Source organism: Homo sapiens, chromosome 4 (genome assembly GCF_000001405.40).
Source record: "Homo sapiens chromosome 4, GRCh38.p14 Primary Assembly".
NCBI classification, from domain to species: Eukaryota; Metazoa; Chordata; class Mammalia; order Primates; family Hominidae; genus Homo; species Homo sapiens.
Window position 1 is genome coordinate 37,562,524 of NC_000004.12, and position 26,592 is coordinate 37,589,115.

Genomic DNA, 26,592 nt, shown 5'->3' on the forward strand with positions numbered 1-26,592 from the left:
CAGTCAGTAATCCAGGTACAAAAGAGATGATGCTGTTTGAGGACAGGGCAGTGGGAGTGCACATAGTTCTCCTGGAATGTGCTCTGGAAATCTACCAGAACCACTGTCTGCCCACCTTTGCCCACAAGCCTTTTCTAATCTTCCTACGGTTACTCCGGAGCTCCTTGTCCTATATAGCATATTATATGACATATTTGAATCTAGTACTTATGACACTATATTAGTCATGTATCTATATACTTGTCTCCTTTCCTGGACAGTAAACTCTTTCTACATCCCTGGAATCAAGTTCGGTACTTGGCACATAATAGGTGCTCAGGAAATATCTGTTGCCTGAATGGTTGGTGAGTCATTTAACAAACAGCAGAGATCTTCTACCTCTTAGTGTCTTAGCAATTAGCAGAGTGTCTTACCCCTAGTAGGGGGGTGTTTAAGGCCTCTAAACCGTGCTCAGTCTTTCCAAGTGCAAAACCTATTTTTACTGTACTTTAAAGGAATATTGGGTTCCAACTCTGCACACGTAGGTTCATCTACAATTAGGGGACAAATTGTAGGTTTTTTCTTGTCTTCCGACCAGTTCTTGCTTCCAGTCTTGAGTCCGGAAAAACATTTATAAAATAAAATAGTTGGGTGGGATAACTTCTAAGATTCTTTCAAATCAGAGCCCTATATCACTCTGCTAAGGCTACCATAACAAAATACTCTAGACTGGGTGGCTTAAACAAAAGAAATTTATTTTCTCAGAGTCCTGGAGGCCGGGAGGTCCAAGATCAAGAAGTCGGCAAATTCGATTCCCGGGAGAGCTCTTTCCAGCTTGCAGATGCCGCCTTCTCACTGTGTCCTCACGTGCCCTCTCCTCAGTGTGCTCTGGACCCACCAGCACCATTCGCTTTCGCTCACAAGCCTTTTCTAATCTTCCCGAGGTTGCTCAGGAGGGAGTGCTCTCTCTCCTCTTAAGGCCACCAATCCTCTTATGTTAGGACCCCACCCTGATGACCTCATTTAACCTTAATTACCTCCAGAAAGCCCTATCTCTAATTACACTCACAATGAGTTAGGGTTTCAACATGTGAATTTGGGGGAAGACACAATTCAGTCCACAGCGGGTACTGTAAGACTCTGGGAATTACCCTGAACTAGTTTATTCCAAGCAGGTGGCCCTGAGCTGTGCTTCCTTTAAAATCTATTTGTAGCCTTACCAGACTATATTATATAAACTCCTCTCCACATGGCCACCTCTAAAACTTCCTCAGCATTTTTAGAACTTAATTTTGTCCAAATGCTTCAAGTTTCTTCCAGATGTCTGCCATCTCCCAGATACAGCTACTTAGCAAAATCAGAGACATTCCCTGTCATGGAGACACGGCCCAGTTCCCATGTGGTTCCAGGGAAGATTTGGTCAAAACATTGCCCATTTCTACACAGTGTCTAAATGGAACTAGCACCCAATGGTTAAAGAATATTCTCAGCCAGGGACAGTGGCTCACCTCTGTAATCCCAGCGTTTTGGGAGGCTGGGACGGGTGGATCACCGGAGATCAGGAGGTCGAGACCCGCCTGGCCAACATAGTGAAACCCTGTCTCTACTAAAAATACAAAAAATTAGCTGGGCGTGGTGGCAGGCACCTGTAATCCCAGCTATTCAGGAGGCTGAGGCAGGAGAATCACTTGGACCCGGGAGTCGGAGGTTGCAGTGAGCCAAGATGGCACCACTGCACTCCAGCCTGGGTGACAAGAGTGAGACTCTGTCTCAAAAAAAAAAAAAAAAGAAAGAAAAAAAACCGAATATTCTCGCAGACAATTGCCATGAACATGCAAACGGCCAACATTTCCTAAGCACCTACTATTTGCAAGACACATATTGCCAGCCCTGTCACATGCTTAAGTCATGTGATCCTCATAGGACCCTGACCAGTACTTCTGGTAATGCAGCCATAAAAATGAAAGTTACCATGCACTGATGCCAGGGGTGTCTGACTTTTTTATTTATTTATTTTTTTTGAGATGGAGTCTCACTCTTACTGCCCAGGCTGCAGTGCAGTGGCGCGATCTTGGCTCACTGTAACCTCCGCCTCTTGGATTCAAGTGATTCTCCTGCCTCAGCCTCCCAAGTAGCTGAGATTACAGGTGTCTGCCACCATGACCAGCTATTTTTTGTATTTTTAGTAGAGATGGGGTTTCACCAAGTTGGCCAGGCTGGTCTCGAACTCCTGACCTCAGGTGATCCACCTGCCTCGGCCTCCCAAAGTGCTGGGATTAAAGGTGCGAGCCACTGTGCCCAGCCCGGTGTCTGACATTTTTCAGCAGATCCTTTAGTAATGATTGATGCTGAGCTTGTTAGAAACACAGGCTGTCAGGCCCCACTCAGAGCCAGGTGGATTCCTCATGACCCAGTGCCCTGTGCTCCTATCTGTCTACAAGATTCCACCCCGTACACACACACACGTACACACACACACACAGACACACACACTAGTCTTTATTCATTAACAAACTACATCTTGTCTGCTCCAAACAGGAGCCTACTTCCAGGAATTTACAGTCCAGAGAATAGGGACATAGCTTCTCAAACTTTTCCCTTAAACTGTCCCCACGAGGGTACAGGAGGATCTGGGAGGCTGGGGAGTGTGGAGAGGATGACCACAAGCTACTGGCAGAACTTGACATCTCTGTGTGCCTTCCGTTTCATTCTAGTCATTCACACAAATGTTGCCTTTTCACCCATGATATTCTGAGTTAATTTTATATAACAAATAATGGGCTTCTCCCCCCAAAACCTTCGCATGGGGCCATATTTATTTTGTGGCTTACCTTTCCCTCCCAGCTCATGGCCATGTATCCTCATGTAGAAGGGGGGGCTCTGAGATTGGCTCACAACACGGGCAGCCTCTGGATCTGGGAGAAGTGCAAGGTCAGCCATGGAGGAGGAGCAGCACCGGGTCTAATCTGGGGGAAGGAACAGGACCCCCTTGACTCCACAGACACCTTCCTCCCCCAGGCTCTTCCACAGAGTTATTGTCCAAATGTACAGTGGGCAGAGACCAACCCAGATGGAGTTCTGATGTGCAGTGATTGTGTGAAGAGGCCTCTGTAGAATTTCAGGAGCCTTTTGACCCCACCATTGCTTGGCCAGACCAGAATAAACCCAATGTCTAGCCAGTGCTAGAGGAAGCCCTGGTCTCATCAGGCTTAAAGGTGACAGTAACTGTGATGGTTAATATTGAGTGTCAACTTGATGGGATTGAAGGATGCAAAGTGTTGGTCCTGGGTGTGTCTGTGAGGGTGCTGCCAAAGGAGATTAACATTTGAGTCAGTGGGCTGGGGAAGGCAGACCCACCCTTAATCTGGGTAGGCACCATTTAATCAGCTCCCAGCGAATATAAAGCAGGCAGAAAAACGTCAAAAGGTGAGACTAGCCTAGCCTCCCAGCCTACATCCTTCTCCCGTGCTGGACACTTCCTGCCTCAAACATCGGACTCCACGTTCTTCAGTTTTGGGACTCGGACTGGCTCTCCTTGCTCCTCAGCTTGCAGATGAGCTATTGTGGGACCTTGTGATTGTGTGAGTTAACACTTAATATTACCTCCCCTTTACATATATGTCTATCCTGTTAGTTCTGTCCCTCTGGAGAACCCTGACTAATACAGTAACCATCTAAAATACCACATCACCTACTTCATAACCTTGCCGCATAGCACAACACCTACACTACTTGGGCCATAATTTTTGTTTCTTTTTTTGTTCTTTTTTTTTTATTTTATTTTTTTTTGCTTTTTGAGACACAGTCTTACTCCATCACCCAGGCTGGAGTGCAGTGGCCTGATCTTGGCTCACTGCCACCTCCACCTCCCGGGTTCAAGTAATTCTCCCACCTCAGCTTCCTGAGTAGCTGCGATTACAGGCGCACATCACCACACCTGGCTAATTTTTGCATTTTCAGAAGAGATAAGGTTTCACCATGTTGGCCAGGCTGGTCTCGAACTCCCGACCTCAAGTGACCCACCCATATCGGCCTCCCAAAGTGCTGGGCTTATAGGCACCCAAAATTCTTGTTTCTGAGGCTTTTTATTTTATTTTTTGAGACAGAGCCTTGCTCCATTGGCCAGGCTGGAGTGCAATGGCACAATCTTGGCTCACTGCAACCTCTGCCTCCTGGGTTCAAGTGATTCTCCTGCCTCAGCCTCCCAAGTAGTTGGACTACAGGTGCACCACCACACCCAGCTAATATTTGTATTTTTAGTAGAGATAGGGTTCCACCATGTTGGGTCAGGCTGCTCTAGAACTCCTGACCTCAAGTGATCCGCCCACCTTGGCCTCCCAAAGTGCTGGGATTACAGGTGTGAGCCACCGCGCCTGGTCCTGAGGCCTTTCTTGTACCAAGTCCTTCTCTTGAGATGAGTAAAATAACCGCTATATCCTGCCATCTGCTGGTGAATTGATGCAACTGCACCTATAAAATTCAGCCCAAATCTAGAGAATCCAGTTCTCTCTTGCAAAAGCTATTGGAGCACAAACTGCTTCTTGCATAATCCAGCGGACAAAAAAAAATAAAATAAAATAAAATAAAATAAACTTACTAGGATGGATGCCAGAAATATTATAGTAATAAAAACAATAACAACATTAATAATACCTTCACTATCCTACTTTCAACTTTTACAACCTTGGGCAAGCAAGTTATATAACCTCCCATTTAGTTATCTATAAAATACTGGTTCCCACCTTAAAGGGTTGTTTTAAAGTTGAAATGAGTTAATACATGAAAGATGAAAGTCCCCAAAACAGTCCTTGGCACATAGAAAACACTCAGTGGCTAACTGCTTATTGTGATTAAGTACTGGCTGTATGCCAGACATTATAGCAAGCGCTATGCATACTTATCTTAGTGTTCAAAACAATCCTCATAAACTGTAACTATCATCATTCGCGTGTTGCAGATTAGGCCACTGAAACTCACGGAGGGGAAGAAACTTGGCTAGAAGTCACAAAGCTAGTAAGCAGTGGAGGTGGAATTGCTGACTACTCTGATCCTAAGTCACTCGCTTAACCACTCTGCTGAACTGCTGGTGTGGTGTGATCAATCTTCCTGAATGTTCGTCTAAATGCCATCCGGCTTCACCAGAATCAATCTCTCTCTCTCTCTTTCTCTCTCACACACACACACACGACTATACGCTCTCCCAGGGAGCACCCGGGTGCCATCATATCCCCAGAACCTAGCACAGTGCCTGGTGCATACCAAGACCCAGTGGAGCCATCGTGAAGTCAGCGATGTTGCACACAGCTGTGAGCATTCGTCACACACCTGTCTTAAGGATAGCAGGCTAATTACTAGATGGGGGGAAAAAATAGTATCAGATCTTGAATAAAGGGCCACATGAAATGTTTTTCAATCTATGAAAATGTCTGTGATATGCTATCGTAAAGACTACAGGAGGGACAAAAGGAGTGACATCATCACTATGTTGTAATAACAACAAAAAAAACCACATTGAATGTGTTTCCACATTCAACATGGATATCAAAGATCCTGTGAACCCAGCAGCAAGAAAGTCCTAGGACCAGGCCCTGGCCTGTTCCTCAGCATTCCTACAGTGGAAGCACCTCTCAGGTGCACAGGGCCGGCAAGGCCAGCCTTGGTAAAGGCTAGAGAGGCAGCCCTTCTAGTGGTATGATTCCAGAGGGTTCAGGGCCACCTGTCACTGAGAAACACCAATTTCAACCCAGACATTCTACCCTCAGAGGCTGATTTCTTTGGCTCCTGGGAACTTATTTTTTTACATAGTTTTCTTTAAAATGCAGGAACACCAGGAGGCCCAGGGTTGCCACCAGTGCTCTGAAAACCACTCTGCCCTCCTGCCTGGCAGCATGCACCTCTCAGCCCATTCCCAGTGGAGAAGGGGGGTCACTTTCTCCATCAGGAGTCTCCCTGGTCTGAGAGCCTCGTCCCTCTCAGGGACTTTGCTGTTACACACATTCTGTCCCAATCTCACAGTTCCTCCTGGCAGAGGCTGAAGAGGCATTTCCAAAAGAGCTGCAGAGTTCAGGGAATAAGACAGAGAACTTGGCCTTTTATCATTCAGTCAAGATCATGGCCTGGGGTGAGTGTGGACGTAGGACCCAGAGGGCAGTATTGCGAAGAGCTAGTTCACAAACCACTGGGCGTGGTGCCCCACGTGCAGCACGGAAGTACTGAAGCATGCCTTCAGCATAATTCTCAGGATTTGATGTGATAACAACAAGGAAATCAAGTCAATGAGTTGAAGTTCCCCTTTTTTCCCACTTTATCGTTTAGATTGTTAAATTTCAAAGAGAGCTTTGATTCACAAACTCGTTTTGCAGATAAAGAAACTGAGGACTCAAGAGATTACAGCCTGGGCAACAAGACAAAATCCCATCTCTACCAAAAAAATTAATAAATAAAAATAGCTGGACACGGTGGCGTGTGCATGTAGTTGCAGCTACTCAGGAGGCTGAGGTGGGAGGATTGCTTGAGCCTGGGAGGCAGAGGTTGCAGTGAGCCGAGATGATGCCACTGTGCTCCAGCCTGGGTGACAGAGTGAGACCCTGTCTCAAAAAAAAAGGGGGGGAGAGATTAAACAACTTCACCATGTCCATGCCATTGGTGATGGCGTTATGGCTAGGAGGTAAGAAGTGAATTTCTTTATTTTTATTTTATTTTATTTTATTTTGAGATGGAGTTTTGCTCTTGTTGCCCAGGCTGGAGTGCAATGGCAAGATCTCGGCTCACTGCAACCTCCGCCTCCCAGGTTCAAGCAATTCTCCTGCCTCAGCCTCTTGAGTAGCTGAGATTACAAGCACCTGCCACCACGCCCAGCTAATTTTTTGTATTTTCAGTAGAGATGGGGTTTCACCATGTTAGCCAGGCTGGTCTTGAACTCCTGACTTCAGGTGATCTGCCTGCTTCGGCCTCCCAAAGCGCTGGGGTTACAGGTGTGAGCCACCACGCCCGGCCCCGAGGAGGTGGATTTCTTATACCTGGGCACAGACTTTGCCTGGCTAAGTTCACCCAAACACCATATAGCTTAATTAGTTTGAGGAGTAAAACTCCAGTGATAATTAGGACTGTCATTTTGATAGCAGATTTTTCAGAAGTATTCTACAAAACATGAGATCTGTTGGTTGTTAATAAGTTTGTTATGAGAAAAAAAGTTCTGTAGCCCAATAATGTAGGGAAATAATCGGGTTAAACAGAGTGAAACAGTTCCTTCTCATAACCATGAATTTCTTCATCTTTAATTTCTGTTGTTCCCAAACCTGTTTTGACCAGGGAGCCTTTTCCAGGGAGAAAACCCATGAGCACTTCCCTGCACACAAATATCCCGTCAAAGCCAGCGCTAGACCATGCTAACACTTCTATCCCAGCACACTGGCTATTGAGAATGCATGAAATGGACTATTTGATGGTGCTGATAACAAAAGTCTGCATATAATCCTTTTTTTTTTTTTTTTTTGAGACGGAGTCTCGCTCTGTCGCCCCGGCTGGAGTACAGTGGCGCCATCTCGGCTCACTGCAAGCTCCGCCTCCCAGGTTCACGCCATTCTCCTGCCTCAGCCTCCCGAGTAGCTGGGACTACAGGCGCCCGCCACCACGCCTGGCTAATTTTTTTTTTTTTTTTTTTTTTTTTGTATTTTTAGTAGAGACAGAGTTTCACCGTGTTAGCCAGGATGGTCTCGATCTCCTGACCTTTTGAGCCGCCGACCTCGGCCTCCCAAAGTGCTGGGATTACAGGCATGAGCCACCGCGCCCGGCTGTCTGCATATAATCTTTCAAGTTCTCTAAAATAACAGAAGCTTAGCCTCTGTAGGAGAAAAGTAAACACATCAGAAAAATTTGTCCCGTGAGTTTTCAAAGACTGCCCAAAAGAGTAGGAAATGTTTCTGCCAAAAAAAAAAAAAAAAAAAGATTGAGCTGTCAAAGAGTTTATCTTCTAGTCCTTTTTCAACTATAGATTCATTACTGTCTATAATGTTGGGCAAGCAGTCTCTAGTTTCTTCTATAAAGGCAGCACAGCTCCTGGTAGTTATTTTTATTCATTCTTCTTGGGTCAGGACCTCAGTCCCTAGTAGCGGCTCACTAAATATTTGTCTACTTCGCCTTCTGGCCAGGTTATGTGAAATCTCAAGCTGTGTTTTCTAAACATTAGCAAATTGTTGGAAATTTACATGTTCCATTCTATTGTATCTCCTCCCTTCCAAATACTCCAACTTCTATAAACGCAAACCACCTCCCAGCAGCCACTTTAAAAGTTTGTTGAATAGAACCCTTGGAGCCGGACGTCCTTGACCCTTGGAATTGCATAATAGAGGTTTTGCTGTCTCCCAAGATGGGAAGGGGGAACAACAGTCTCTCCCATTTCTCCGAGCTCCTGCCTCCGGCTTGTAGTTTGGACCACTGGGTAGTATGAGATTTGATTGTGGAAAAGGGTATAGACCCTCTGTTAGAATAGTTTATCATATCTCATACCCATCATGCCTTCATTCCCACGTGTCATTCAGCGCCATTCCTTCATTTAAATAGTAAGAATGAAGTGCCCCATACAAGCTAGATGCTGGTTGGATTAGGCATTGCCTGTGGGGAGCTCATGTGTAGTAGGGAAGGCAGACAGCCAACAAGCACCAAAGTCCCCCTCTAAGATGCAACAACAGCCTGAAGACAGGAACCATACCCTTTATTTGCCTCTAGAGTTCTCATCCTGGGACTATATATGGTCTTCAGTATATACACAGGATGATGTGTAGGTTGGTAGACTTTTGATGAGCTGCCTTCCAAGATCTCTCTCCATGGTCTAATTTATAGAGACTATTATCCTTTTTTTTTTTTTTTTTTTTTTTTTTGAGACAGACCTCACTCTATCATCCAGGCTGGAGTGCAGTGGCACGATCTTGGCTCACTGCAACCTCCACCTCCCGGGTTCAAACGATTCTCCTGCCTCACCCTCCCGAGTGGCTGGGATTACAGGTGCCTGCCACCGTGCCCAGCTAATTTTTGTATTTTTATTTTTATTTTTTGAGACAGAGTCTCGCTCTGTCGCCCAGGCTGGAGTGCAATGGCGTGATCTCAGCTCACTGCAAGCTCCACCTCCCAGGTTCACACCATTCTCCTGCCTCAGCCTCCCAAGTAGCTGGGACTACAAATGCCCGCCACCACGCCTGGCTAATTTTTTGTATTTTTAGTAGAGACGGGGTTTCACCGTGTTAGCCAGGATGGTCTCGATCTCCTGACCTCGTGATCTGCCCGCCTCAGCCTCCCAAATTTTGTATTTTTAGTAGAAACAGGGTTTCACCATGTTGGCCAGACTGGTCTCGAACTTCTGACCTCAAGCGATCCTCCCACCTCGGCCTCCCAAAGTGCTGGGATTACTGACGTGAGCCGCCACACACAGCCATATAGGGAATATCTTAATAACATGGATTTCCTGGAGGTGTCAAGTCCCAGCCCAGGTTGTGACAGGCAGAGTAAGAACTGACCTTAGATTCACACGTTTGTTTTTAACTTCACACCTTTTTTTTTTTTTTCTTTTTTTTTTTTTTTTTGAGACGGAGTCTCGCTCTGTCGCCCAGGCTGGAGTGCAGTGGCGGGATCTCGGCTCACTGCAAGCTCCGCCTCCCGGGTTCACGCCATTCTCCTGCCTCAGCCTCCCAAGTAGCTGGGACTACAGGCGCCCGCCACTACGCCCGGCTAATTTTTTGTATTTTTTTTTAGTAGAGATGGGGTTTCACCGTTTTAGCCGGGATGGTCTCGATCTCCTGACCTCGTGATCCGCCCGCCTCGGCCTCCCAAAGTGCTGGGATTACAGGCGTGAGCCAACGTGCCCGGCCACACCTTTTTAGAACATTTTATTTTGACATTATTTCAGACTAACAGAAAAGTTGCAAGAAAAATGCAAAGAATCCCCATAAATCCTCTACCCAGAGTCCCTAAACATGAACATCTACCACATTTGCTTTGTTGTTCTCTCTGTCTTTATATACACACAATTTTTTTTCTGAATCATTTTAAGCAGTTATATAAACCATGGTCCTTTAGCTCTCAAATCAGTTTGATTATCCTCTATCCAAAATGCTTGAGAACAGAAATGTTTTAGAGTTTGGATTTTTTTAAAATTTTGGAATATTTGCATGTATATCATGAAATATCTTAGGAATGGGAACTGAGTCTAAATATGACATTCAAATGTTTCATATATACCTTTTACACATACCTGAAGATAATTTTATATTTTTAATAATTTGTGCATGAAACAAAATTTTTACTTCGTTTTCACTGTGGCCTGTCACATGAAGTCAAGTGTGGTATCATGTAGGTGCTCCAAAAGTTTCAGAAATGGGAGCATTTTGGATTTTGGATTTTTGGATTTCAGATGCTCAACTTTTACTTTACTGTGTATTTCCTAAAAACAAGGGCATTCTCTTTTTTTCTGCCTTCTTCCCAACATTGTATTGTATTTTCAAACATATAGCAAAGTTGAAAGAATTTTGTAGTAAATTTCTGTATACCCACCACCAATCCATCTTATATTTTGCTGCATTTCAAAGTAAGTTGTGGACCTCATGTATTTCCCTTCTCTGCTTTCACTTAAGCATGTATATCATTAATGAGAATTCTGTACGTGTTTGCATTTTTTGAAATGACTTTCATTACAAAAGTAATGTGTTCATTGTAGAAAATTGGTAATTGCAGATTTAAAAATCTACAAATCTATCAGTTAGTAGTCATTTGTACCAGATATTGTGCTATGTATTTTATCAACATCATCTCTAGTCATCCTTTCACAAACCCTAAGAAGAAGCATTATCCCCATTTTACAGACAAGGACTCTGTGAGCAAGTTGCTGCAGTTCCCACAGTGGCAGAATCAGGATATGCATCCAAGTCTGTCCCATCCCCTGACTCTCAGCTGCATGCCATCCTGCTAGCCTTGTGTCTACTCCACCCCACTCTGAGATAACCACTGTTAACCCTTCTCTCTCAATTCTTTTCCAGGTGTGTAGATTTCCACAAAACTGTGATTATATTATACAAGTCATTTTGTAACTGGCTTTTTTGCACATATGCAAACCTCTTTCTCCAGCACCTTGTTAATGGCTGCAGGGTATTCTGTTGAGTAAAGATACCATATTTAAGAGCTACCTTATTGTTATTTATTTTTCAAGTTTTCACTATTATGAAATCTTCTTGCATACTACTAATTTTATCCTTAGGGTCACAAGTAGAATTGCTGAGTCAGAGATTATGCATAGTTTCCACTGTTAATACAGATTCTCAAATTTGCTTTCAACATCTCCTACCAGTAGTAAATGACTAGCAGATTTCCCTACATCCTACACTGACATCAAGTATACATTTTAACAACTCATTTTTATCTGGGTGCAGTGGCTCATGCCTATAATTCCAGCACCTTGGGAGGCCAAGGTGGGTGGATCACGAGGTCAGGAGTTCAAGACCAGCCTGGCCAAGATGGTGAAACCCCATCTCTACTAAAAACACAAAAATTTGCTGGGTGTGGTGGCACGTGCCTGTAATCCCAGCTACTCAGGAGGCTGAGACAGGAGAATCGCTTGAACCTGGGAGGCGGAGGTAGCAGTGAGCCAAGATCATGCCACTATACTCCAGCCTGGGTGACAGAGCAAGACTCCATCTCAAAAAAAAAAAAGAAAAAACTCATTTCTAGTTAGATAAGCAAAAACATGTATGTTTTGTTTAGCATACCTTTGATTGTTAATCAAGTTGAACATATTTTCACATATAAGGCTTTCCCTTTCATATACTACTTGTTCAGGTCCACACGGTTCTTTTTTTAAGTTGGTCTCTTGAATAATTCCAACCCATTTCACATTAAAGCCAATGTTAAGAGTGAAATTTTTATTTTTCAAGCAGATTTTACTTCATTTATTTTTATTTTAAGTTTTTAAAATTATTTTTAATTTTTGTGGGTACATGGTATATATATTTATGGGGTATGTGAAATATTTTGATACAGGCTTGCAATGCATAATAATCATATCCAGGTAAATGGGATACACATTGCCTCAAGCATTTATCCTTTGTGTTATAAACAAACAAGTGATATTCTTTAATTATTTTTAAATGTACAATTAAATACTTATTGACTGTAGTCACCTGTTAAGCTATCAAATACCAGGCCTTATTCTTTCTTTGTAACTTTTGCTTTGCCCCCATTAGCCATCCCCACTTCTCTTTCACCCCCACCCCCAACTATCCTTAACAGCTTCTGGTAACCATCTATCTACTCTCTATCTCCTGAAGTTCAATTGTTTTAATTTTTGGCTCCCACAGATAAGTGAGAACATGAGAAATTTGTCTTTCTGTGCCTGGCTTATTTCACTTAACATAACAACCTCCTGTTCTATCCATGTTGTTGCAAAGTAAAGGAGCTCATTCTTTTTCATGGCTGAATAGTTCTCCATTGTGAGAACTCTATACCACATTTTCTTTATTCATTCTTCTGTTGCTTCCAAATCTTGGCTATTGTCAATAGTGCTGCAATAAACATGGGAGTGCAGGTATCTCTTCAATACAGTGATTTCCTTTCTCATGGATATATACTCAGCAATGGGATTGCTGGATCATATGGTAGCTCTGTTTTTAGTTTCTGAGAAACCTCAAAACTATTCTCCATAGTGGTTGTACTAATTTACATTCCCACCAACTGTGTATGAGAGTTCTCTTCTCCACATCCTCACCAGTATTTGTTGTTGCGCATCTTTTGGATAAAAGCCATTCTAACAGGGTTGAAATGATATCTCATTGTAGTTTTGATGTGCATTTCTCTGATGATCATTGATGTTGAGCACCTTTTCCTATACTGTTTGCCATTTGTATGTCTTCTTTTGAGAAATATCTATTCAGATATTTTGCCCATTTTTAATTGGATTCTTAGATTTTTTTTTTCCTGTAGAGTTGTTTAAGCTCCTTACATATTTTGGTTATTAATCTCTTGTCAGATGGATAGTTTGCAAATGTTCTCTCCCATTCTGTGGGTTGTCTCTTCACTCCGTTGATTGTTTTCTTTGCTGTGCAGAAGCTTTTTAACTTGATGTGATCTTTGTTGTCCATTGTTGCTTTGGGTGCCTTTGTTTCTTGGGTATTACTCAATAAATCTTTAATCAGTCCAATGTCCTGGAGACTTTCCCTTGTCTTCTTGTAGTAGTTTCATAGTGTGAGGTCTTAGATTTATGTCTTTAATCCATTTTGACTTGATTTTTATATACAGCAAGAGAGAGGGATCCAGTTTCATTCTTCTGCATATGAATATCTAGTTTTCCCAGCACCATTTACTGAGGAAACTGTCCTTTCCCCAGTGTATGTTCTTGGTTCCTTTGTTGAAAATGAGAACACTATAAGTGTATTGATTTGTTTCTGACTTCTGTCTTCTATTGGTCTATATGTCTATGTTTTTATGCCAAAACCATGCTGTACCGATTACTATATCTCTGTAGTGTAATTTAAAGTCAGGTAATGTGATTCTTCCATTTTGTTTTTTTCGCTCAGGATGGCTTTGGCTAGTCTGAGTCTTTTGTGGTTCCACATACATTTTAGAATTGTTTTTTCTATTTCTGTGAAGAAATGTTGATAGAGATTGCATGGGATCTACAGATTGCGTTGGGTAGTATGGACATTTTAACGATATTGATTCTTCCAATCCATAATCATGAAATATCTTTCTAATTTTTGTGTCCTTTTTAATTTCTTTCACCAACATTTTATAGTCTTCATAGTAGAGATCTTTCACTTTTTTGGTTAATTGCTAGGTATTTAATTTTATTTGTATCTATTAGAAATGTGATTTTTTTCTTGATTTCTTTTTTGGATTGTTCACTCTTGGCATATAGAAATGCTACAGGTTTTTGTATGTTGATTTTGTATCCTGTGACTTTACTTAATTTGCTTATCAGTTCTAATAGTTCTTTGGTGGAGTCTTTAGATTTCCCCAAATATAAGGTTGTCTCATCAGCAGACAAAGGTAATTTGACTTCTTCCTTTCCAATTTGCATGCCCCTTATTTCTTTATGTTGTCTGATTGCTCTAGCTAGGACTTCTAGTACTATGTTGGATAACTGTGATGAAAATGGGCATCCTTATCATGTTTTAGATTTAGAGAAAAGGCTTTCAGTTTTTCCCCATTCAGTATGATACTAGCTATGGATCTGTCATATATGGCTTTTATTATGTCGAGGTATGTTCCCTACTATACCCAGTGTTTTTAGGGTTTTTATGAAGGGATGTTGAACTTTATCAAATGCCTTTTCAGCATCAGTTGAAATGATCATATGGTTTTTGCTCTTCATTCTGTTGATATGATATATCACATTGATTTGCATATGTTGAACCATCCTTCCATCCCTGGGATAAATCCCACTTGGTCAACTTGGTCATAATGAATGATCTTTTTAATGTGTTGTTGAATTTGGTTTGCTAGTATTTTATTTAGGATTTTTGCATTGACACTCATCAGGGATATTGGCCTGTAGTTTTCTTTTTTTTGATGTGTCTTTGTCTGGTTTTGGTATCAGGGTAATACTAGCCTCATAGAATGAGTTTGAAAATATTCCCTCCTCCTCTATTTTTGAGAAGAGTTTGAGTAGGATTGGTATTAGTTCTTCTTTAAATATTTGGTAGAATTCAGCAGTGAAGCTGTCAGGTCCCAAGTTTTTCTTTGCTGGGAGACTTTATTACAACTTTGATCTTGTTATTGGTCAGTTCAAATTTTGGATTTCTTCATCTTCAATCTTGATAGGTGGTATGTGTCTAGTAATTTATCCCTGTTTTCTAGATTTTCCAGTTTATTGACATATAATTGTTCATAGTAGCCACTAATGATTTATTGAATTTCTGCAGTATCAGTCGTAATGTCTTCCTTTTCATCTGATTTTATTTATTTGGATCTTCTCTCTTTTTTCTTAGTCTGGCTAAAGGTTTGCCAGTTTTGTTATCTTTTCAAAAAAAACCAATCTTTTGTTGATCTTTTGTATTGTTTTCTTCATTTCAACTTCATTTCTGCTGTGATCTTTATTATTTCTTTTCTTCTGGGTTTGGTTTACTGTTGCTTCTCTAGTTCTTTAAAGTGCATTTTAGGTTATTTATTCCAAGTTTTTCTTTGTTTATGTAGGCCTGTATAGGGATAAACTTCCCTCTAAGTACTGCTTTTGCTGGATCCCATAGATTTTGGTCTCGTGTTTCCATGATCATGTGTTTCAAGAATTTTTTTCAGTTTCCTTCTGAATCTCTTCATTGACCCAGTGTTTATTTAAGAGCTTATTGTTGAATTTCCATATGTTCATATCATTTCCAAAATTCCTCTTGGTATTGATTTCTAGTTTTACTCCATTGTGGTCAGAGAAGATGTTTGATATCATTTCAATTTTTTTGAATGTTTTAAGACTTGTTTTGTGACCTAACATATGGTCTATCCTTGAGAATAGTCCATGTGCTGAGGAAAAGAATGTACATTCTACAGCAGTTGGATGAAATGTTGTGTAAATATCTATTAGGTCCGTTTGATCTACAGTACAGTTAAGTGCAATGTTTCTTTGCTGATATTCTGTGTGGAAGATCTGTCCAATGCTGAAAGTGGGGTGTTGAAGTCTCCAGCTATTGTTGTATTGGGGTCTATCCCTCTCTTTCGCTCCAGTAATATTTGCTTTATATATCTGAATGCTCCAGTGTTGGGCGCATATATATTTACAATTGTTATATCCTCTTGCTGAATTGAACCCTTCATCATTATGTAATGACCTTCTTTGTCTCATCTTAAAGGTTTTGTCTTGAAATCTATTTTGTCTGACATAAGTATAGTTATTCCTGCCCTTTTTTGGTTTCCATTGGCATGGAGCATCTTTTTCTATGTCTTTATTTTCAGTCTATGTGTGTCTTTATAGGTGAAATGTGTTTCTAATAGGCAACAGATCATTAGGTCTTTTGAAAAATCTATTCAGCCACTCTATGTCTTTTGAGTAGACAGCTTAGTCCGTTTACATTTGATGTTATGATTAATAAGTAAGGACTTACTCCTGCCATTTTATTTGTTTTCTGGTTGTTTTGTGGTCTTCCTTTCCTTCATTTCTTCTTTTCTGTCTTCCTTCTAATGTAGGTGATATTCTCTGGTGATATAATTTAATTTCTTGATTTTAATACTTTTCTGTATTCATTGTATGTTTTTTTAATTTGAAGTTGCCATGAGGCCTGCAAATACTATCCTAAAACCCATTATTCTGGCCTGGTGCGGTGGCCTGTAATCCTAGCTCTCTGGGAGACAGAGGCAGGTGGATCACCTGAAGTCAGGAGTTTGAGACCAGCCTGACCAACATGGTGAAACCCCATCTCTACTAAATACAAAAAAAATTAGCGAGGCATGGTGGTGCACACCTGTAATCCCAGCTATTCGGGAGGCTGAGGCAGGAGAATTGCTTGAACCTGGGAGGCGGAGGTTGCAGTGAGCCGAGATTGCGCCATTGCACTCCAGCCTGGGCAACAGAGCAAAACTCCGTCTCAAAACATAAATAAATAAATAACCATTATTTTAATTTGATAACAACTTAGCATTGCTTGCATAAACAAACCAACAAGAAAAAAAACCAAAAACAAAAAAACAAAGATTCTAACTTCATCCCCTCACTTTTTAACTTTTTGTTGTATCTATTTACATATTATCGTACAGTCTATGTCTTGAAAAATTTTTGTTATTATTTATGATTGGTTCATCTTTTAGTCTTTCTATTCAAGAGACATTTACATACCACAGTTACAATGTTATAATATTCTGTGTTTATCTGTTTGCTTATGATTACCAGTGAGTTTTGTACCTTTAGATTATTTCTCATTGCTCATTAACATCCCTTTCTTTCTGATTGAAGTACTCCCTTTAGCATTTCTTGTAAGATAGAACTGGTGTTGATGAAATCTCTCAGCTTCTGTTTGTCTAGGAAAGTTTACTTCTTCATGTTTGAAGACTATTTTTGCCACAAACACTATTCCAGTGTAAAAGTTATTTTCCTTCAGCACTTTAAATATGTTATGCCACTGACATGTCATATCTCTCCTGGACTGTAAGATTTCCACTGAAAAGTCTGCTGCCAGATGTATTGGAGCTTCATTGTATGTTATTTGTTTCTTTTCTCTGCTGCTTTCAGGATCCTTTCTTTATCCTTGACCTTTGGGAGTTTGATTACTAATTGCCTTGAGGTAGTCTTCTTTGGGTTAAATCTGCTTGGTGTTCTGTAACCTTCTTGTGCTTGGATATTGATATATTTCTCTAGGTTTGGGAAGTTCTCTGTTATTATCTCTTTGAATAAGCTTTCTACCCCTATTTTTCTACTTCTCCTTATGGCCAATAACTCTTAGATTTGCCCTTTTGAGGCTATTTTCTAGATCTTGTAGGTGTGCATCATTGTTTTTTATTCTTTTTTTCTTCTGTGTCCTCTGAATATATTTTTAAATAGCATGTCTTCAAGGTCACTAATTCTTTATTCTGTTTGATTAATTCTGCTGTTAAGAGACTCTGATGCATTCTTCAGTATGTCACTTGTATTTTTCAACTCCAGAATTTCTGCTTGATTATTTTGTTTCAATCTCTTTGTTAAATTTATCTGATAGAATTTTGAATTCCTTCTCTGTGGTATCTTGAATTTCTTTGAGTTTCCTCAATACAGCTATTTTAAGTTTTCTGTCAGAAAAGTCATATATCTCTGTTTCTCTAGGATTGGTCCCTGGAGCTTTAGTTAGTTCTTTCGGTGAGGTCATTTTTTTTTTTTTTTTGGATGGTCTTCATGTTTGTGGATGCTCACTGGTGTCTGGGCATTGAACAATTAGGTATTCCTCATAGTCTTTCCAGTTTGGGCTTGTTTGTACCTGTTCTTGGGAAGGCTTTTCAGGTATTCGAAGGGACTTGTGTGTTGTGATCTGAGCCATATCTACATTAGAGGCACCCCAAGCCCAGTAATGCTATGGTTCTTGCAGACTCATAGAGGTATCACCTTGGTGGTCTTGGATAAGATCTGAAAGAGTTCACTGGATTACCGGGCAGACTCTTGTTCCCCAAACAAAAGTTTCTCTCTCTGTACTGAGCCACCTGAAGCTGGGGATAGGGTGACACAAGCACCCTTGTGGCCATGATCACTAGGACTGTGCTGGGTCAGACCTGAAGCCAACACAGCACTGGATCTTACCCAGGGCCCTCTGTAACCACTAGCTAGCTAGCTCCAATGTTTGCTCAAGGCCCTAAGGCTCTACAATCAACAGGTGCAAAGCCAGCCAGGCTTGTGTCCTTCCCTTCAGGGTGACAAGATACCCCAGGCCCTAAGTGGGAGCTAGGGACTGAAGTCAAAATCCTTAGAGATCTACCTGGTGCTCTATTCTACTGGGGCTGAGCTGTCACTCAAACCATAAGACAAGGCCATTTCCATTCTTCCCTCCCCTTTTCCCAGGCAAAGGATCCTCTTCCTATCACCATTACTACCACAGGCCCACAGAGAGTATTGCCAGGCTACTGCCGATGTTCACTTAAGGCCCAAGGGCTCCTCAGACAGTTTATAGTAAGTTCTGCCAGGCCTAGGACACATCCTTCAGGGCAGTGGACTTGCCTGTGGTCAAGTGCAAATCCAGAAATGCCATCCAAGAGCCAAGGCCTTGAATTAGGGACTCCAAGAGCTCGCTTGGTGCTCTACCCCACTGTGGCTGAGCTGGTACCTAAAGTGCAAGACAAAGTCCACTTTACTTTTCCCTCTGCTTTTCTCAAGTAGAAGTAGTCTCTCCCCATAGCCACCACAGCTAGGAATGTGCTGGGTCTCACCTGAAACCAGCACATCTCAGAGTCTCACCCAAGGCCCATAGCGTACTACCTGGGTATTCCTGCTGGTTATTCAGGGCCCAAGGGCTCTCCACTCAGCAGGTGATGGGTCTTGCCAGGACTTGGTCCTTCCTTTCAAGGAAGTGCAGTCCCTTCTGGCCCAGGGTGTGTCTATAAATGTCATCTAGGAGCTGGGGCCTGGAATGGGGGCCTCATGACTCTGCCTGGTGCCCTATGCTAATGTGGCTGAGCTGGTATCCTATGGTGTAAGACAAAGTCCTCTTTACTCTTCCCTGTCTTTTCCTCAAGCACAAGGAAGGGGTCACTTTCATTGCTGTGAGCTGTGCTGCCTGGGTTTTGGGACACGTGACACAGGTTCTCCCTTAGCCACTCTGGTGTCTCAGTAGATCAGGTGCCCCCCCAGGTCCACTGGCTCTGGCCCCAGCACAGTACTGATATCTTGCCTAGGAACCACAGTTCTTGTGGCCTAGGCTACCCTTCAAGTGTATTAGGATTGCAGAGCACTTTAGTCCATGGTGGTGCGGCTTGCCAAAACTCAAGTTCCAACAACTGGAATATATAATTTCCCTCTGGCTAGATCTGGTCCAAATGCTCCCTCTGTGTGTGGGTAGGCTGGGGGGTCGTGGCTTAGCTGATTTCAGCCTGGTTTTGCTTTCTGCTCTGATAGGGCAGCACTGAGTTCAAACGCAAAGTCCCCAAATCACTGTACTCTCCCTCCCCCAAACACACAGATGCTCTCTCCACGACATGCAGCCACTGCCAAGGAATGGGCAGCGGCAGTTCAAGATTGTCTTTCCTACTACCCTCTTTAGTGCCTCTTTCAGCAATATGAAGTTAAAACCAGGTACACTGATTGTGTACCTGATTTTTGGTTCTTATAAAGGTGCTTGTTGGTGTAGATGATAGTTGTTAAATTTGGTGTTCCTGTGGGGCAATGAAGTGAACATCAGTGGAGGCTTCTATCTGGCCATCTTGTTCTGCCCTTCCCCAAGAGCATTCTCTTATATAACCCCAGTACAATGTTCAAAAGCAGGTAATTCACATCAATTTAATACGATTACCTAATCTACAGACCTTATTCAGATTTTACCAATTATGTCAATAACGACCTTTTAGCAAGAAGGACATGCAGTGCATCGGCTGTCATGTCTCTTAAATCTCCTTGAATTTGGAAGCATTCTTCTGTCTTTCTTTGCTTTTTCATAACATTACATTATTTTAAGAGTACAGGCCAGTTGCTTTGCAGACTATCCCTCGTTGTTTCAACTCAGAGTATGCTCTTTTGTCAGGAAATCACAGAAGTGAGGCTAAGTTCTCAGTGCATCCTATCAGGAGCCACATGCCATTGATTAGTCTCATTATGGCACTATTACCTTTGATTACTTGGTTAAGGCGCTGTATGCCGGGTTTCTCCAACGTAAGGATAATATTTTGTCCTTAATCATATGGGGGGGAGCTACTTTAAGACTAAATATCCTGTCCTCCTCAAAATTTCACCCACTAGTCCTACCATCCATTGATACTTCTTACTGACATCAATTATTATTATGATGGCTATCAAATGGTTTTTCTATTATTATGATGGCTATCAAATGATTTTTCTAGTTCCAGTATTTCTCGTATGTTTGTTAGCTGGTTTCCTACTTGTAAGGTAGAGTGTTCCCTTTCCCTTTATGTATCTTAGTGTGGACTCATAAGTCCTTGTTTTATTCAATTGGCTACAAATGCTGTAGATTAGTAATTATTTTAATATTCCAGTTGTTCCACATTTGGCCAGTAAAACTTCTACAAGTGGATTCCTGTGTCCTTTTAAAATGTCCCTGTCATTCTTCAAAGCTATCACTATTTAAAGGCAGCTTCCAGATGGGTTGAGTCTTTTCCTATATGCCCTTGACTTCCTAATGAATACTCAGTTAATTTCTCTGCCTGGCTGGAGAACTCCTGGGCTTCCCTGGACTTCGCCCTTCCCCTACCTCCATTGCTACCCTCCCAGCAAGGAGGCTTCACCAATGACTGACATGGCATTAGCATGGCCTTCTTTTTTTATTGTTTGTTTGTTTTTGTTTTTGTTTTTTTTTTTTTGAGACGGAATCTCGCTCTGTCGCCCAGGCTGGAGTGCAGTGGTGCGATCTCGGCTCACTGCAAGCTCCGCCTCCCAGGTTCACGCCATTCTCCTGCCTCAGCCTCCCGAGTAGCTGGGACTACAGGCGCCCACCACCACGCCCAGCTAATTTTTTTTTATTTTTAGTGGAGACGGGGTTTCACCGTATTAGCCAGGATGGTCTCGATCTCCTGACCTCGTGATAGCCTGGCCTTGTTTAAACACAAAACAGAGTCAGCCCCCAACACAGGGCTGCAGAAGCAGGCGGCAGCAGCATTGGGTGGACACAGCCATCCTAATGGTGTTTGTTTTTCCCCTGTGTAAACTAAGAAGTGGTTGTGAAGGATTTTCCCTTTGTTGCCTGTTGCTTTTTTATGCTCCAAAGAGGAAGCAAATTTTGATTTTGCTCAGTAATAAAGGGTACCCAACAACTGAATTCTTACCTTTAAGCTAGCTGTTGCCAAAAGGGAGGCAAGGAAGACAGCTGATAGACTGCTCATTTTGAACCCAATCTTACGTCAAAAGAGCATATTTTTTTCATTGCTGTGTGTCACATGCTAGACCCGGAGCATTTCCTTGTTGCCCCTGGGCTTAGGAGAAGTCCTTGCTAAATGCAAGATGTAGAAGTGGGAGTGACATATGAAAAAAGAAATGAATTAAATTTGATATGACACATCATATAAGGAAGAATAATTGTAGACACAGGCATGCAGGGGTTGGGTGTGAGTACATTAGTCCCCACCCTTTTCGTCAGCAGTCACACAACCTTGGACATTAGAGCCTGTCCGTCTGATCTAGAGAAGGAATGTTGCTGGGGAAGGAAAACTCAGGGCGAGGTGAGAGAGGACAGAACCTCTAACCAGGAAGAGGCTGTCCCCGCCAAGCTCCGGAGAGGCGCGGAAGCATGACCCTCAGGTATGGGACCAGGTCTATAGGAAACCCATGTGGTGTGCCCTAATGGGAGGCAAGCCGGGGAGGACCCAAACTGGAAACCTGATTCTGAAAGAGGAAAACCACCACAACATCCTTTGTAATTGTGCAGCTTGGAAGAACAGTATAGATCCTGTGGTTTTCCTGGGGAAGGAGGGGAGCCTAAAAGCCGCAAATGATGTATATTTCCTTCAGAAGCAGGGAAGGGGCAGTTTTCGAGTACGGCTGTTAAATCTCAGCACTCACTTCATTCGGTGCAGGCTGCTCCTGTGGTCTTGGCTATAGCAGCAGAAGGCGGGGATGGAGGGTGCCCCAGGGTCAATCTTGGTCAGCCTCCGAGGAGCTGGGAGTGCAAGGTGTCACTCTGGATGTGCCTGCCTGCTTTTCCTCGCCTTCTTGCCCTCCTTCGCCTTTCCTCCCTCTTTTCTTTCCTCCTTTCTTTCGCCTTCCCCTGTACACCTCTTGAATTCACCATCATAAAGTTGACCTGAGATGTTTCAATGAGTAATGTTTTATGATTGCTTCAGTTACATTATTACAATCCAGTCTGCCTTCCTTGTTTCTCAAACAGTTCTAAGCTCTTTTCTCCTTTTCTTTGACTTGTTTTTTTTTTTTTTTTTACTACCTATCCTCCTGACTAGTTGTTGTTGTTTGTTGGTTGGTTTGCTTTTAAAGAGTCCAGGATAAACAAAGTATTGCAGGCATGAAAAGGGTCAGGATTTCAGAGCGAATTGTGGAGGGGGAGGGTCAGGAGGGGAGGGGAGAGGAGGGGAGAGGAGAGGGGAGGGTGGAGGAGAGGTATTGAGGGAGGGGAGGGGAGAGGAGAGGTATTGAGGGAGGGGAGGGGAGAGGAGAGGTATTGAGGGAGGGGAGGGGAGAGGAGAGGTGTTGAGGGAGAGGAGGGGAGATCAGAGGTGTTGAGGGAGAGGAGGGGAGAGGAGAGGTGTTGAGGGAGGGGAGGGGAGAGGAGAGGTGTTGAGGGAGGGGAGGGGAGAGGAGAGGTGTTGAGGGAGGGGAGGGTAGAGGAGAGGTATTGAGGGAGGGGAGGGGAGAGGAGAGGTGTTGAGGGAGGGGAGGGTAGAGGAGAGGTATTGAGGGAGGGGAGGGGAGAGGAGAAATGTTGAGGGAGGGGAGGGGAGAGGAGAGGTGTTGAGGAAGGAGAGGGGAGAGGAGAGGTGTTGAGGGAGGGGAGGGGAGAGGAGAGGTGTTGAGGAAGGAGAGGGGTGAGGAGAGGTGTTGAGGGAGGGGAGGAGGTGCACGTGCTTCTTCTCGCCTGTCCTATTTATCCAGCTCATCTATGAATTATCAGCAGAAAAGGAAAGTAAAGGAGGAGTAGAGGCTGGGAATAAAATCCTGGGCTTTAGAAATGGGGTAGTTTAAGAGTATTCTGAAAGGTACAATGTTACACATGTGTACACAGTTCCATAGCAAAAGCGATTTTTCTGTCTACGGGACTGTTGTTGTACTTGGGGTTTTCTATCTTTCAATTGGTGTCACAGTTGATAGAAATATACCATGTAGCCCTTATTCCAGAAACAAGTCCTACTTGACATTGTTAATACTCTTGTTTGTATGCATAGGTTCTGGCAACTAGATTATATCTTTCTTGGATACTAGACCTCCATCTTTTTCTTTTTGGGGGGTGTGTTTTAATATGCTGTATCCAAATGGGGTGGTTAAGACACCCCTGGTCTATGTTTATTATGAATGTTTGCTCATATGACCCCCAGCAACACTATATAGTAGGAATATTATTATCCCCATCTACAGGCCAAGTGACTGAGGCCCAAAGTCCCACAGTAGCAGGGTTTTCTGTCTCCTGAGCCCACCCTCATAACACCTGGGCGACACGGCTGGCACAAACTGGAAATGTCTTGATTGGTTGCAGACACACAACAGGTTCACTGATAGTGCTCTCGTTTTTAATCCATAGCCATTAAATCATTCATTCATTCCACATTTATTGACTGCCTGCTCTGTACCAGGTGCTGTCCTAAGTGCTGAGAATTAGACTTGAAGAAGGGTGGAGCACGGTAAGGAAAGAGGGTGGCAAGAGATGCACGGCTGGTCCGAGGGACTCTTCTACATTCCATGAGTCCTCCCAGGAAGAGTTGGAAGGACAAGGGGTTTGGTCCTCAAGCATGAAGTGATTTGGGGATGTTACTAGTTTTCTGTGCTGCTGCAGCAAATTACTACGAACTTAGAGGTTTAAAAAAATGGAAGCAGCCGGGCATGGTGGCTCACGCCTGTAATCCCAGCACTTTCAGAGGCCAAGGTGGATGGATCACCTGAGGTCAGGAGTTCAAGACCAGCCTGGCCAGCATGGTGAAACCTCATCTCTACTAAAAATATAAAAGTTAGCTGGGCGTGTTGGCAGGCACCTGTAATCCCAGCTACTGGGGAGGCTGAGGCAGGAGAATCACTTGAACCAGGGAGGCAGAGGTTGCAGCGAGCCGAGATTGTGCCATTGCACTCCAGCCTGGGCAACAGAGTGAGGCTCTGTCTCAAAAAAACAAACAAAACAAAACAAAACAATGGAAGTTTATTCTCTCCCAGTTCTAGAGACCAGAAGTCTGAAATTGGTATCAGTGGGCTTGATCCAGGGGTGGGTATCAGGGATCAAGGTGTCACCGGGGCCACACTCTTTCCAGAGGCTCCAGGGGTGAATCTGTTCCTTCCCTCTTCCAGCTTGGGGGGCTGCCAGTACTCTTGGTTTGTGACCTCCTTGCTCCAATCTCTGCCTTTTTGGTCACATTGCCTCTTCCTCTTCTGTCTATAATCAAATGTCCCTCCACCTCCTTCTCATAAGCATTTATTTAATTGTATTTAGAGTCCACCCAGATAAACTAGGCAAATTGTACCATCTGAAAATCCTACACTTAATCACATCTGCAAATACCTTTAATTTGGGGGCTGGGGTGGCATATAAGGTATTATTTATAGGTTCCAGGGATTAGGATGTGGATATCTTTGGGGGCCATTTTTCAGCCTACCATAGGGAGTTATTTGTGGATTTTATTTTTTTAATGTAAATCTAGTCCCTTTTAACTAAGCAACCAATCTGTACTTCTTAAAAAGCACCAGTCATATTCACTGTGGACAAAAGCTTATGAAGCAGCATCCCTGGAAATTCACCTATGATTGAAAGAAGGAAGGAGGGACAACATGGGAGACAGAGACACAGCCAGCAATGAATGATGTCTCTTTCTGGTGCATGTGCTTCATGGAGACAGGGAGACTGGGGATGCAGATTCTGTTTTGGCTTGTCTTTTTAAAGGCTGTAGGCCCGTCACAGTGGCTCATGCCTGTAATCCCAGACCTTTGAGAGGCCAAGGCAGGCAGATCACTTGAGGTCAGGAGTTTGAGACCAGCATGGCCAACGTGGCAAAACCCTGTCTCTACTAAAAATACAAAGATTAGCCAGGCATGGTGGCACCCGCCTGTAAACCCAGCTACTTGGGAGGCTGAGGCAGGAGAATCGCTTGAACCTGGGAGGCAGAGGTTGCAGTGAGCCGAGATTGCGCCACTGCACTCCAGCCTGGGCGACAGAGTGAGACTGTGTCTCAAAAAAAAATAATAAATAAAAATAAAGGCTGTAGATATTAGAAATGAATAATATCTAAGAGATGCTTCCATACTCATTTTTAGGATGTTCTGAGGAAGGAAGAGGCCAACATGGTCAGTTTTATATGAAGAGAAGATTTTGTTCCAAAGGAAATGATGGGGAAAAGCCCAGCTTGGGGAGGGGTCAGGGAACAGTGGGCAAGTGGGAAATGAGTCCACCTTCTGCCAGGAAGCCCAAGGGGGCATGTCTTTGAGCTGCAAAAGAACAGGTCCACAAATCATAGCTGAGATTGGCCCAGCGGTAGGAAAAGCAACACAGAATCAATTTAGTGTGGTTGAAGCTTGTGCGATGACTCGGGCTATCACGCTCCTCAGGGCCTGAATCATGGGACACAATGGATCCGCCAGCTTATTCCGGCATCCTTTAACTCTTGAGGAGCAAATGCCCTGGCAAGGAATCCGTCAGAATCTCCTTCCCCTCCTGCTGCTGCGTGCAGTGGGCCGTGCCCTGGTGAGGTTCCTGTGTCCTCTGTAGAAGGTAACAGATTAGAAAAGCAGAAGTCCCTTCTCTGTCTAGCATCCTTCCACCTTCTTCTCCTCATCTGCAAAATGGGGATGAAACACATAACCCCAGGGTTGGGAGAAAGGTCTGACACAGAGGCAAGTGTCAGTGAACGTTTGAGAACTCTGAAGCGGTGATGGAAATGGGGTATTCCTGGTAACCAGCACCCTCTCTGACCCACGTGGTAGTTATCCTTTTGCCAAAATGTGTGACTCTCTTAATACATTTTGAGTCTCTAGGGAAAAAAAAAGGCAAACTTAATTCCTACTAATATATCACTCACTGTGTTCTCTACCTTTTACGCTTTCTTTTCCAGGTGGTAACAGAAAACAATCCAGATGGGGTGCAGGTGCTGTAAAATAATACAAAGGTAAAGCTGGAGAAATACTACTTCTAAATGGAGGAATTTGTGATGAGCGTGGGGTCACTTTTAAAGACCATGCGTGTATTCAGTGCATTTATCCAGCTTGGGGCATGATCAACATTGCCAACACATTAAGAGTTTGGAATTGTTATAATATCATTTAAAAGAACATGTGCCCTAGATTTTTTTAACTTTTTTTGCTCACTTCTCAAAGCATGTTGG

At 43.1% G+C, this 26,592-nt stretch overlaps 2 protein-coding genes across 11 annotated transcripts in view; one reads left to right on the forward strand and one right to left on the reverse strand.

Moving 5' to 3' along the window:
- The window catches only part of PGCKA1 (PDCD10 and GCKIII kinases associated 1), a 140,256-nt gene that overhangs the window by 109,269 nt on the left and 4,395 nt on the right, over positions 1-26,592 (forward strand). For 4 of the 5 annotated variants that reach the window (XM_011513713.3, XM_011513712.3, NM_001104629.2 and 1 more), the window contains one exon: positions 26,323-26,376. In XM_011513713.3, the coding sequence (XP_011512015.1) occupies positions 26,345-26,376 (32 nt within the window). In that variant the 5' untranslated portion in view covers positions 26,323-26,344. Of the gene's footprint in view, positions 1-21,709; positions 21,866-26,322; positions 26,377-26,592 lie in introns of those variants that run through there. The other variant, NM_018302.3, reaches the window with a different exon arrangement.
- Positions 23,781-26,592, reverse strand: part of RELL1 (RELT like 1) — a 100,073-nt gene continuing 97,261 nt past the window's right edge. The window contains exons 8-9 of one of the 6 annotated variants that reach the window (XR_007057960.1): positions 26,302-26,358; positions 23,781-25,973 (exon numbers count right to left, since the gene is read on the reverse strand). The gene's annotated coding sequence lies outside the window, so the exon portion shown is untranslated. Of the gene's footprint in view, positions 26,359-26,592 lie in introns of all 6 variants that reach the window. The other 5 variants (XR_007057958.1, XR_007057959.1, XR_007057957.1 and 2 more) reach the window with 5 other exon arrangements.